Source organism: Homo sapiens, chromosome 2 (assembly GCF_000001405.40).
Source record: "Homo sapiens chromosome 2, GRCh38.p14 Primary Assembly".
Taxonomy (NCBI): Eukaryota; Metazoa; Chordata; class Mammalia; order Primates; family Hominidae; genus Homo; species Homo sapiens.
In genome coordinates, this window is record NC_000002.12 from 70,074,407 (window position 1) to 70,087,462 (window position 13,056).

The 13,056-nt window shown below is 45.0% G+C and overlaps 1 protein-coding gene, 1 long non-coding RNA gene and 1 pseudogene across 93 annotated transcripts in view, besides 4 other annotated features; all 3 read right to left on the minus strand.

Annotated features, from left to right (window-relative positions):
* Positions 1–12,969, minus strand: part of ASPRV1 (aspartic peptidase retroviral like 1) — a 154,659-nt gene extending 141,690 nt beyond the window's left edge. The window contains exons 1-3 of one of the 10 annotated variants that reach the window (NR_170632.1): positions 12,875–12,969; positions 11,141–11,218; positions 9,132–9,281 (exon numbers count right to left, since the gene is read on the minus strand). The gene's annotated coding sequence lies outside the window, so the exon portion shown is untranslated. Of the gene's footprint in view, positions 1–9,100; positions 9,282–11,140; positions 11,219–11,409; positions 11,988–12,571; positions 12,612–12,874 lie in introns of those variants that run through there. The other 9 variants (NR_170635.1, NR_170638.1, NR_170636.1 and 6 more) reach the window with 9 other exon arrangements.
* Positions 1–13,056, minus strand: part of PCBP1-AS1 (PCBP1 antisense RNA 1) — a 125,946-nt gene that overhangs the window by 112,144 nt on the left and 746 nt on the right. For 16 of the 83 annotated variants that reach the window (NR_183099.1, NR_183104.1, NR_183101.1 and 13 more), the window contains exons 1-3: positions 11,410–12,540; positions 11,141–11,218; positions 9,132–9,281 (exon numbers count right to left, since the gene is read on the minus strand). This is a non-coding gene — a long non-coding RNA (PCBP1 antisense RNA 1). Of the gene's footprint in view, positions 1–6,963; positions 7,085–9,100; positions 9,282–11,140; positions 12,541–12,571; positions 12,610–12,666; positions 12,970–13,056 lie in introns of those variants that run through there. The other 67 variants (NR_183096.1, NR_183095.1, NR_183097.1 and 64 more) reach the window with 17 other exon arrangements.
* Positions 608–866, minus strand: RN7SL470P (RNA, 7SL, cytoplasmic 470, pseudogene; annotated as a pseudogene).
* Positions 11,668–11,807: an enhancer, noted in NCBI's record as "active region_15986". NCBI's record gives its function as "activates an Ori minimal core promoter by ATAC-STARR-seq in GM12878 lymphoblastoid cells {active_cell/tissue: GM12878}" and the evidence as "EXISTENCE:reporter gene assay evidence [ECO:0000049][PMID:35858748]".
* Positions 11,948–12,037: an enhancer, noted in NCBI's record as "active region_15987". NCBI's record gives its function as "activates an Ori minimal core promoter by ATAC-STARR-seq in GM12878 lymphoblastoid cells {active_cell/tissue: GM12878}" and the evidence as "EXISTENCE:reporter gene assay evidence [ECO:0000049][PMID:35858748]".
* Positions 12,078–12,287: an enhancer, noted in NCBI's record as "active region_15988". NCBI's record gives its function as "activates an Ori minimal core promoter by ATAC-STARR-seq in GM12878 lymphoblastoid cells {active_cell/tissue: GM12878}" and the evidence as "EXISTENCE:reporter gene assay evidence [ECO:0000049][PMID:35858748]".
* Positions 12,498–12,647: a silencer, noted in NCBI's record as "silent region_11603". NCBI's record gives its function as "represses an Ori minimal core promoter by ATAC-STARR-seq in GM12878 lymphoblastoid cells {active_cell/tissue: GM12878}" and the evidence as "EXISTENCE:reporter gene assay evidence [ECO:0000049][PMID:35858748]".

Sequence of the window (13,056 nt, forward strand, 5' to 3'; positions counted from 1 at the left end):
GCCTCCCGAGTAGCTGGGACTACAGGCACACACCACCACACCTGGCCTTTTTTTGTATTTTTAGTAGAGACAGAGTTTCACCATATTGGCCAGGCTCCTGACCTCGTAATCCGCCCACCTCGACCTCCCAAAGTACTGGGATTACAGGCATGAGCCACCGCGCCTGGCCCCAACCCCTTTGTTTAATGAATAAGGACCATAAAACTAAAAAAAGTGAAGTCCTAAATATGGCAAGTTGGTGGCAGGGTCAAGTCAAGATCACAGTCCTCTTTATTCCTAGTCCAGTGGTCAAAATCTTCCCATTTTTCATATGAGAAAAACAGAGCTGGCCCTACTACTCTTATACCACACAGTCCATACTACCTACTTAACAGAGGTAAGAAAAGACTACAAGCAGTAGAGTGCAGAGGTTAAGAGCATGAACTCGGGGCCAGGCGCAGTGGCTCACGCCTATAATCCCAGCACTTTGGGAAGCCGAGGCAGGCGGATCACGAGGTCAAGAAATCGAGCATCCTGGCCAACATGGTGAAACCCTGTCTCTACTAAAAAATAGAAAAATTAGCTGGGCATGCTGGCATGCACCTGTAGTCCCAGCTACATGGGAGGCTGAGGCAGGAGAATCGCTTGAACCCAGGAGATGGAGGTGGTTGCAGTGAGCCAAGATTGCGCCCCTGCACTCCAGCCTGGCCACAGAGCAAGATAACATCTTTTTTTTTTTTTGAAACAGAGTCTCGCTCTGTCGCCCAGGCTGGAGTGCAGTGGCGCGATCTCGGCTCACTGCAATCTCCGCCTCCCGGGTTCACGCCATTCTCCTGCCTCAGCCTCCCGAGTAGCTGGGACTACAGGCGCCTGCCACTATGCCCAGCTGATTTTTTTTGTATTTTTAGTAGAGACACGGTTTCACCGTGTTAGCCAGAATGGTCAGAGCAAGACAACATCTCAAAAAAAAAAAAAAAAAAAAAGCAAGCATGAACTCAGGATGGACTGCCTTATTTAAATCCCTGCTCTACTACTTATTAACTGTGCAACTTGAAGCAAGTTTTCTAACCTCTCTTCAACTCTATAAAACGGGGATAAGAGTCACCATGAGGTTATTTTTAAGGATTAAATGAGATAATCCATGTAGAGTACATAGCATGTAGAAAATTCTCAACGTGTGGCCAGGCACAGTGGCTCACGCCTGTAATCCCAGCACTTAGGGAGGCTGAGGCAGGCAGATCACCTGAGGCTGGGAGTTCAAGACCAGCCTGAGGAACATCGAGAAACCCTGTCTCTACTAAAAATACAAAATTAGCCGGGCTTGGTGTCACATGCCCGTAATCCCAGCTACTACTTGGGAGGCTGAGGCAGGAGAATTGCCTGAACCCGGGAGGCGGAGGTTGCGGTGAGGTGAGATCACGCCATTGCATTCCAGCCTGGGCAACAAGAGCAAAACTCCGTCTCAAAGAAAAAAAAAAAAGAAAATTCTCAATGTGTATGCTGTTCTGCTTCTCATCATTACCAGTCATGTGAAAAAATAAACAAGCATAATAACAAGAGAGGCCGGACAAGCTCTTACTTATGGTCCAAAAAGCACTGAGACATAGGTGTTTGTTTAGCTCCATTTCCCGGTCCAGGGAACACCCAATCCCTCAGCAGGAGAAGAATATAACTAACCTATCATTCATGTCTTTGGATCTAGGGAAGAATCAATTCAGAGAATAATCGAGGCACATGCTACACTGATAAGATGCTTAAGATCACAATGAAGGTTAGGTAAGTCAGAACTCAAGCCTGACCTTTACCCCTACACTCAAGTTTGACAAGATGCAGTTTTTGCCCAGTCTTCCTCTCAACCTACTAAGGTGATGCAGCGTAATGGTTAGCAAAAGCTCTGGAGTTTGACTGCCTGGGTGCAAACTAATTCCGTCATTTATATGCTGTGTGACTTACACAAATTACTTTATTTACCTTATTTCTCTAAGCCTTTGTTTATCCATCTTTTAAATGAGAATAACAACTATTTTAATTTTTATGATAATAGCTGACATTTGGTAAGCACTTTCTATGTGCCAAGCACTATGCTAAGCACTTTACATAGCTGATGGCATTTAACCGTCACCACCATCTTAGGAGGCAGGTATTATCATTATCCTCATTGTACAAATACAGATGTTCCTTGACTTATGATGAGGTTACATCTCGAATACCGTAAGTCAAAAACATATTTGATACACTTAGCCTACCAAACATCATAGCTCAGCCTAGACTATCTTAAATATGCTCAGAACACTTAACATTAGCCTCTAGCTTGGCAAAATCATCTAATACAATGCCTATTATAAACTTGAATATCTCATGTAATTTATTAAACACAGTACAGTGTGCAGTATTGGTTGTTTGCCTTCATGACTGCACGGCTGAGTGGGAGCTGCAGCTTGTTGCTGCAGCCCAGCATCATGAGAACGTGTCAGTAGGCCAGGAAAATATCAAAATTAAGAATTTCAAGTGCAGTTTCTAATTAACATATATGGCTTTTGCATCATCGTAAAGTTGAAAATTGTAAGTCAAACCACTGTAAGTCAGGGACTATCCGTACAAATGAGGCACAGTTTTCTTGTTCAAGGCCACACAGTCAGTTACCGGCAAAACTTAGGTGTCAAAGCAGGAGGTCCGACCCCATAGTCTATGCTCCTCACTCCTACTACACTGGCTCTACTTCTCATAGTACCGGAATCATATGGTTGTCAGAAGATGGCAACCAACATAAAGTTCTTAGCACAGTGCCCGGTTCATCAAAGCTGGCCATTACTATTATTTTTGTTATCATCATTATCAATCCCTTTAAGCCTCTCCCAAAGATTACTACCTCCTAAGTTCCAATTTCATCTAAAAGGAAAGGGTTGTTTTCTTACCTAGCTACCACCTCACTGAGTAGCTGGGAGTGGGGCTGCAGTCTTTTTATTTCATTTCCTTCATGTAATACAGGATAAGTACTTGGGTGGAGAAAAAGGGAAATATTTATTGGAAACATGTTACTCTATAAAAAGCAATATTCTAAAGTCTTTGTTTTTAAAAATAAAACCTTTATTACCTTCATTAGGAAAAAAAACCATACACTTATTATGAAACTTTTTTTCAAAATAAAGCAGAGATAAATAGTATTTACTTTAAACAGAAACTGTCAGCCAGGCACAGTGGCTCACACCTGTAATCCCAGCACTTTGGGAGGCCGAGGTGGGCAGATCACCCGATGTCAGGAGTTCGAGACCAGCCTGGCCAACATGGTGAAACCCCGCCTCTACTATAAACACAAAATATTATCTGGGCATGGTGGCGTCCGCCTGCTGTCCCAGCTACACAGGAGGCTGAGGCAGGAGAATCACTTGAATACGGGAGGCAGAGGTTGCAATGAGCTGAGACGACGCCATTGCACTCCAGCCTGGACAACAAGAGCGAAACTCTGTCTCAAAAAAAATAAAATAAAAATTAAATAAATTAGCCGGGCGTGGTGGCTCACACCTATAATCCCAGCACTCTGGGAGGCGGAGGTGGGGTGGATCATGAGGTCAGGAGTTTGAGACCAGCCTGACCAACATGATGAAACCTCGTCTCTACTAAAAATACAAAAATTAGCCAGGCGTGGTGGCACACGCCTGTAATCCCAGCTACTCAGGAGGCTGAGGCAGGAGACCCGGGAGGCGGAAGCTGCACTGAGCCGAGATCGCGCCACTGCACTCCAGCCTGGGCGACAGAGCAAGACTCTGTTTCAAAAAAAATAATAATTAAATAAATTTATTCATTCAGCTCCTATGTTACAAGCACTGTTCTAGCAGTGGGGCTATAGCAATGAGCAAAACAAAGTCCTAACCATCATGAAATTTACATTCTAGTGGGTGGTGACATGTAATAAACTATGGTAGAGAGTCCCTAGAACACAATGCCTGGCACAAGCAGACAGCACTCAATAAATACTTGCTAAATAATGAACAATGAATGAATAAACAATATGTCAAATAGCAAGTGCTATGCAGAAAAAACAGGGAAGGGGAGCAGAGAAAGCAGAAGGCAGAGAGATAGCTTTTATTTTAAACAAGGCAGTTAAGGTATATTTCACTGATTAAGTGACAGTTGAGCAGAAACCTGAAGGAGATAAGGGAGAAGGCCATACTGACATCTGGAAAAATGATGTTCCTGGCAGAAAAAGCAACTACAAAGGCCCCAAGGCCTGGCATGCTGGAGCAACTGCAAAGGAGACCATTGTGGCTACAGCACAAGGGGAAGTGGTAGGAAATGAAGTCAGAGCAGCTGGGAGAGAGTGGTGTGAATCCTACATGGTCTTATAGACCATGGTAGGGACACTACCTTTTAATCCAGGTGGGATTTTAATCTGGGCACCCAGGTGACAGTTTTCAGCAAAGCAGTGACTTGATCTGATATATACTTAAAAGGATTATTCTGGTCACTGTTAAAATTAGATTGAGGGGGCAAAGAGCAAAAGGAGGAAGACCACTTAGAAAGCTATTCCAGTAGCAGCAGGGCAGGTGGTGGGAAGTGTTTAAATACTGGATATATCTTAAGGTGAAGTTGACAGGACCTGCTGGTGGATTGGATGAAGAGAATGAAAAAACAGATTTAAGGGAGACTCTCTATATATTCAATACACAGATGAATAGCAACTCTGAAATGGGGAGGACCTTCCAGAGATGCAGATTTGAGAGGAGATGTTCTGAAGTTTTTTAATAAGTTCAACAAACTATTAGACACCCAAGTGGAGATATCCAGTGAATAGTTGGATATAAGTCTTGAGTTCAGGGAAAGACATTCAAGCTAATAATGTAAACTCATGAATTGTCAGGGAATAACGGCATTTAAAGTCTTGATCGAATCCAGCCTCAGCAACATTGTGAGACCCTGTCTCTACAAAAAAAAAAATAATAAATTAGCCAGGCATGGTGGTGGGTACCTGTAGTACTAGCCACTGAGGAGGGGAGGGAGGATTTCTTGAGACCAGGAATTCAAGGCTACAGTCAACTATTATCATGCCACTGCAGTCCGGCCTGGACAACAGAGTGAGAATCTGTCTCTAAAAAATAAAGTCCTGAAAGAGAGCACCTAGGAAAAGAGTGTAGACAGAGAAGGGATCCAAGGACTGCTCTGAGTACTCCACCAATGGAGAGTGAGGAGATGAAGAATAAGAAAAAAAAAGTTGAGAAGGAGGAACCAGTGAGGCAGGAACAGCATCAAGGGAGTGACATCCTGGAAGACAAGTGAAGCTAGGGTGCAACAGAGTATCAAATGCTACTGAGATATCAAGAATAAAAATGGGTGAGAAATGACCACTGACTCTACATACATTTTCTAAACCTGTTCTTTCCTATTCCACGCATAACACTTTTCTTCTCTTTTAATCCACATAAAAATCCCAGTACTATCCAATGAACACACAGAAGGGTTCTATTTAATTCAGCTATATCCGTGTCTCAGAAATACAAAAAGCAAAAATCAATGCTCTTAATCGGGACACAACAAATATTACACAGTGAATAATGTTGAACAAATGCTTTGTCTGGTTGAAGTAACTGTCTCTCTGAAACAAAATCCGTTAAGTCTTGCTTGTGCTTAGTAAGTGGGATCAGAGAAATGAGTTATTTAAATGTATTTTTTTTGTTCTGCATAAAGTAGCAATCATTCTTGAACTCCTTTCTCTCCCCTCTAACTCAAACCTCCTAACCAGCTTAACAAAGACCCTAAATTTCCATACATACCCCTCCTCAAAAACAAAGCAAAACATGGTAAGATTCAGAAGTTAGAGAGAAAGGAGTAGGCTGTGCCCTGCCCCTTCTGTTTTTTTTTTTTTGAGACAGTTTCACTCTTGTTGCCTGGGCTGAAGTGCAATGGCACCATCTTGGGTCACTGCAACCTCCGCCTCCCAGGTTCAAGCAATTCTCCTACCTCAGCCACCCAAGTAGCTGGGATTGTAGGCATGTGCCACCACACTCAGCTAATTTTTGTATTTTTAGTAGAGACAGGGTTTCACCACGTTGGCCAGGCTGGTCTCGAACTCCTGACCTCAGGTGATCTGCCCGCCTCGGCCGCCCAAAGTGCTGGGATTACAGGCGTGAGCCACTGTGCCCGGCCACCCCTTCTTTTTTTTATAGGACAGAGAGTTATCAATCATTTGCTAACTCAAAGGTCAGGTTTAATTTACATTTTCTCCTTAGAATCTCTGGACAGGAAGTATAATTTCTGATGTCTTCACCTTAAAAGAGAATTATTGCTATAAAATAAAGCCTTTAACTTTCTGTGCTCTAGCAAGTATAGTCAAATCTCAATAATATACACTAGTGAAGTAGCAAAACAATAGTCACCAAAAACTGGATAATGTAAACATCCTTCATTCATATCTTTCTGAAATGACTACAACTTCTCAATTGACTGTGCTTTCTTTGACTTCAGGCCTTTGCTTCCTCTGCCTGGAATACCCTTCCCTGTCCTCCACTTTGCAGTCTGCTAGTTTGAAACTCCTTACCTCAACCTGCCCAGCAGCTGGGCTAACTGTTTTGGTAGACACAGGGGCTCCCTATGTTGCCCGGGCTTGTCTTGAATTCGTAGGCTCAAACAATCCTCCTGCCTCTGCGCCCAAAGTGCAGGGATTACAGGTGTGAGCCACCACACCCAGCTATACCAACCCCAACACATTTCTTACATTTCTCAGAGAACCAAGAAGTGATCTCCTAACAGCAGTGCAGGGTCACCAGCATATGAGGTCAAATTGTTACTATCTACAATATGGGTAAGATACATTGCTTGGAAGTGCCTGTTTCTGGCTTCTGGCTGGAGGCTCACTTCCCAGCCTGGCATTTATTTATGAGAAATAAAGCTCTCCTTTCCAAATAAAAAAATTTTCCATCCTGGCTAACACAGTGAAACCCCATCTCTACTAAAAATACTGAAAAATTAGCCAGGCATGGTGGAACACGCCTGTAGTGCCAGCTACTCGGGTTGCTGAGGCAGGAGAATCACTTGAACCCGGGAAGCAGAGGTTGCAGTGAGCCGAGATTGCGCCACTGCACTCCATCCTGGTGACACAGCAAGACTCCATCTTAAAAAAAAAAAAAAATTTTTCAACAGATATATTTCCAACTGTAGTAACCTAGAAAGTAACAGGGGAAAGGCTCTCTCAATTTACTCTTTATTTTTTATTTTCTTTTTTTAGATAAGGTCTCACTCTGTTGTCCGGACTGAAGTGCAGTGACGCGATCATGGCTCAATACAGCCTCCAACTCCCGGGCTCAAGTGATTCTCCCATCTCAGCCTTGCAAGTAGCTGGGACTACAGGTGCACGCCACCACACCCAGTTAATGTTTTTATTTTTTTGTAGAGACAGGGTCTCACCATGTTGCCCAGACAGGTCTCCAACACCTGGACTCAAGTGATCCTCCTGCTTCAGCCTCCCAAAATGCTGGGATTACAGGTGTGAACCACCGTGCCCAGACTACTATTACTTTAAATAAAAGAGAAATAGAAAGATAAATCTTAAGAGAGAAAAAGAAACCACTTAAAAAAAAAAGCTACGTTAGTAGGGCAATTTTTTATTTTTATTTTTTGAGACAGAGTCTCACTCTGTCTCCCAGGCTGGAGTACAGTGGCACCATCTCAGCTCACTGCAACCTCTGCCTCCCAGGTTCACATTCACATGCCTCAGCCTCCCGAGTAGCTGGGATTACAGGCACGCACCATCACGCCCAGCTAATTTGTGTGTGTGTGTGTATTTTTAGTAGAGACACAGTTTTGCCATGTTGGTCAGGCTGGTCTCGAACTCCTGACCTCAGATGGTCTACCCGCCTCACCACCTCATCCACAGTACTTGGCCAGTACGGCAACTTTAAATAGCTATAGGCCAGGCATGGTGACTCACACCAGAAATCCCAGGACTTTGGGAGGCTGAGGCAGAAGAATCACTTGAGCTCAGGAATTCAAAACCAACCTGAGCAACACAGCAAGACCTCATCTCTACTAAAAATAAAAACAAAAAAATTAGGCCGGGTGCGGTGGCTCACACCTATAATCCCAGAACTTTGGGAGGCCGGGGCAGGCAGATCACCTGAGGTCAGGAGTTCGAGGCCAGCCTGACCAACATGGAGAAACTCCGTCTCTACTAAAAATACACAATCAGCCGGGTGTGGCGGCACATGCCTGTAATCCCAGCTACTCAAGAGGCTGAGGCAGGAGAATCGCTTGAACCTGGGAGGCAGTGGTTGTGGTGAGCCAGGATCGCGCCACTGCACTCCATCCTGGGCAACAAGCGCGAAACTCTGTCTCAAAAATAAATACATAAATTAATTTAACTTAAAAATCAGCCGGCATGGTGGGCACACACCTGCAGTCCCAGTTACTGAGGAGGCTGAGGTGGGAGGATTGCTTGAGCCTGGGGGATAGAGGTGGCAGTGAGCTACGATGGAGCCACTACACTCCAGCATGGGTGACAGAGCAAGACCTTCTCTCAAAAAATAAATAAAAATTAAAAATAAAAAAATTAAACAACCATAGTATGCTTGCTGAACCAGGTAGGTTACAGAAAATAAATGTGGTCCCTGCCCCCAGAGAACATAAGAGTCTTATTGAGGAATCCTTCCCACCCCTTCCAAACCCATAAATGTAAACATCAGGGAAAAGAGGGAAGAGATTTTCTAAAACAAGAGTTAGGAACTTAAGGTAAATGCATTGGCTGTTTGGGGACAGAAAAATAGTAACTGGCTAGAAAGCCTTTTGAGTTTAAGGTAAAGCTATCCCACACATCAAAGTCCATATCAAAAGCATCAGAAGCCATGGAAAGGTGTAATCCATAACTAAGAGTCAAGAGGTTCAGCTCAAATTCTAACAGGCTGTGTAACGTTGGGCAAGTCACTTCACTCCTCTAATCCAAAAATGGCTCTTCTGTAAAATGGGCATAAGACCCTACTGGCAAAGTTGTCTGTGATGATTAAACAAGTAACGTGAAAGCACTCTGAAAGGTTTTACGTGACATACCAACTTAACATAAGAGGAAGCAACAATCATTCCTCTGTATGTAGCATAAATCCTGTGGTTCAACTTCCAAAGTCTAAACCTGACTCACCTTCTTAGCCTTGTTAAACCCCTCAACCAACCTGTGGTCACTGAGAGGAGGCGAGTCATGTGTGAGGCTCCAGGCAGGGGTGGGGCAGTGACTACTCAGTCAATTGCTCCATGTCTCAGTGGTTTCATCTATAAAATGGGTGGTGTGGAATTCACTCAGGTATCCACAAGATAATGCAGGTCTGAGGAAGGGAGTGGAGATTTTACCAAAAGTGCAGAAAACATTTACATAAACCTCCCACCCCGCCAAAGAAAAATAACCAAAGTCATCAAATATCATCAGTCCCTGGACATAAGTAGAAGGACCCTTAGAGATCATTTAATCTCTTGCTTTATAAAAGGGAGAACTGAAACCCTGACAGATGAGTTGTAGAAGTCTCAGAGCTAGACAGGGGCAGAGCTAGGACTAGGGCCCAGAGCCTCAGATTCCAAGGTCCAATGACCTCTTTGCCAGACCACAGCATCACCCAAGGTGTCTGTATGACATGTTACCAACCCCAAGACACATTACAATTTAACCAACGTCCAAACGTGGGCTACCGAAGGGAGAAACTGTTAAGACTCTCGGGGAAGGAGGGAGGCTAAGAGCTGGGGAAGCTGGGAAAGGGAAGGCTTCACTGAGGAGGTGCACTAAGTCCCAGGAGTACATAACAGGAAATTATGGAAATATTTCAGTAGGTAGTCTTGGAAAGAAAGACCTGACAGATAAAATTTTCTCTAGAGAAAAGAAATAAGTTAGATTTAAAAGACCAGAAGAAGGCTTTGTTTGAACATTCCTTGATTATATGCAATTTAGTCCTTTTGTTGTCACCTGAGTTTCTAACACTTGGTAATATTTTTAATTCCCTCATCTATTCTGTCTCCCTATGAGACAGGACTCTCTGCAGAGACCACATCCAGTTTAGTGGTTAAGAATGGAGTCTCTGGACTCAGATTGCCTAAATTCAAATCCTTGCTTTACCACTTAATAGCTGTGTGACCTTGGATAAATTCCTTCACTAATCTGTACCTCTGTAAAACTGACCTAATATCACCACCCATTTCAGGAGGTTTTGTGAGGATTAAATGTGTATAAGCGGTCACAACTTATTAATGGGTTTTTAATCACTTTATAATGTGTCCTTTTTATATATAAAGAATAGAAATTACCCAAGTACATATACTGCATGTAGTAACAAATATTGTTTTGCAAAAATTTTGTTACATATGTGTGCATAAATGTCTTAAATCATAATGTAAAATTTGTTTCTTAGTGGTTTTTTTAAAAATGTGAGACACTGAATACATAAAATAAGGCTTAGAACAATGCCCAGCACACAGTAAGCACCTAGTGCTGTAACTGTCATCGTTGCTGTTATGTACCTATTAAATGTTCGTAGAGTTATATAAACTAACATGAAACCACTTTGGAAAATATATCTGATAGTAACATAAGTTAAAGGCAAAAAGCCCTTCTCTTTGTCTCTCATATCCACACACAATCAGAGCCCTGCTCAGGCACCAGTTTGTTGCTTGGCCCACTAGCTACGTGTTGCATTGAACTGAAGAGTCCACAGACTGACCTAACACTCTGTCATGCTCTGTCAATCTCTGCAGAGAAATGGAGGCTTGGTGCCAGAGCGAATTTATTTTTACCTGGTTGGGGTGCTGGGGTGGGGGAGGCAAGAGTCAAGCCCATGGGGAGCTGACGGAAGCAAGTCAGTCATACAAAAAACCATTTGCTCCCCCAGAGGCAGGTAGGCTCAAATGTGCCACAGACAGGGCCAGACCGACAGACACCTGAGCCTCTGGGCAGGCTGAATCACTTCCCCCTCCCTATCCTCACCAGACACTGCATAAGACAGCATTTCAGCCCGCCCGCCCGTTACAGGTGTAGCTCTTATCAGGAAAAGCTGGGAGCTGCCTGATACAAAAAGGGGCTGACTGCACAACAAAAGATTACCTGAAGGGCTCATTTAAATGACAAGCTCACCTAAACGTTTTAAATAGTATTTAAATTCCAAAACCCTGATTTACAGAAAAACCTGGAAAATGTGCTCACCAGTAAGGAAATCTGGAGGTCCATCCCCGACATTGTGTGACCTTGAATTAAGCACTTCATCTTTATGTTTGTCTTCCTCTGTTTAAAAGAGAGAGAGAGAGAGAGAGATAAGAACACCTACCTCAGAGGACCATGGTAAAAATTAAAGATAGAATACGGTGAACTGCCTTGCATCGGATGTGCTGGCACTGGCCAATGCACAATAAACGCCTGTCCCTTCTAGACTAAAAATGAACACTTAATTGTGGTAAACTATTAATAAGATTCACCGGCCAACTGTCCTATGAAAAAGTCAGAGGCACTGTAGTCTCTTCGTAGCTCTCGTTCTCTCCAGCACAACAGCCCATGCTAGGAAGTCTAGAAAAGCAGTAACTTATCTCATTCCTTAAATTAAACAGAGGTTTCTAAATGCTTTGGTACTGTGGGGACCCAAATTATCCCTTGATACTGCCCCCCTATTATCCACTATTAAGCTTTAAAAAGGCGAGAGATTAAATATTGTGCCCACATTTTACAGTCATTCGCGTTCCCGTTTCAAATTAAAGGGAGGAAAACGCGTTAAAATTAGGCCTCCGACCTTCAGACCAGCCTGTGGGCTTTTTTAAGTCATAAAACTCGCGGAGGTGGAAGGCCCCGGGGAGGAAGAGGGGTGCATTCTAGAGCTTTCGGGCCGACCCCAATTTCTCGTTGGCGACGAATGCTAACCACGTGTCGCCATTTTGTGTTCAGGAAACATGGCGGCCGCCCCAAGGGTAAGGAACAGGGGAGGCGGAGTAGCGCCACGTTAGCCGCTTTCCCTGAGAGATTGTGAAGCACGTTGCGCACGGGGCCCTTTCTGGTCTGGCTTAGCCCAAGGAGGAAGGGGAAAAGGCAGAAATCACAACTCATAGGCCAGCGTCTTGAGCGACACTTCCTCAGCGGGAAGAACCGGCAAAAAAGGCCTTCCAAGATGGCGGGCCCTGACGGGGCCGCCCCCCTTGAGCCTGGCGCAGTGGCTGCGCCCATGGGCCCGAAAAGCAGCCGCGGGAGCCCAGGCCGCGCGGGGAAAGCCGCAGAAACGTCCTGAAGCCCTGGCCGGCAGCCCCTGAACAAACGAGGCCTCCACAGGCGTACACTATTGTTTCTAATGTCGGAAAAGGGTGCCGCGGTGGAAACGACACAAGGGCAGGAGGTGGGGTTTCTGTGGCTTTAACCGAAAGAAACTTGCGAAACGCAAACAAAGCATTATGTAAATGGACGCCATTCTTTTTAGGACCACGTTTCTAGCACGCCCCACAAACAGCAGAGCCGCGATTCGGCAGGCGGCCGTGAGTGGGTTTCGGTCTTTCTGCCCACCGGCCGCCGCCGGGGAGCAGGAGCTGGGGTGGGGGATCCATGCAGGGCGCCCGGACGCCGGGGACGAAAGGGCCCCACGTGCCCGCCCGCGCGCACCCGCTCCGCAGGCCTCGCCTCGCCGCCCCTCCCCCCCGGAAGAGGGCTGCTGCCCCTCCCATCCCCCCACACCCTCGCGCACGCGCTCTGGTCACCTCACGCGCATGTTTTAAACCCGCGGCGTCCCGGCTTGTGCCTGCAGTTTCCGCCGGGGCTGCCCATGTCGTTCCGCGCACGAGCCCCTCATGTAGGGCAGGAAAATAATGTCTATCCCGCATACACAGCACTAGTATTTTCAGTCACCCGCCAGTGCCGTTAGAGTTAATAAAATACGTCATCATTTTAAAACTTTGCCGGACTCACAGCTTCCGCCCATCGTGCGCTTCATTTTCACTACTGCAGTGTCAGAAGGTTTTTTTTTTAAGGACCATGTAAGGGTTGGCGCAATCTTGTGACCTAAAAAAGACGGGTCCTCATTTTTTTTCAAGGGGTCCTGCGCAGCAAGCACTTCCGGGGTCAGAGGGTACGCGGGGTTGAAAGCGGGC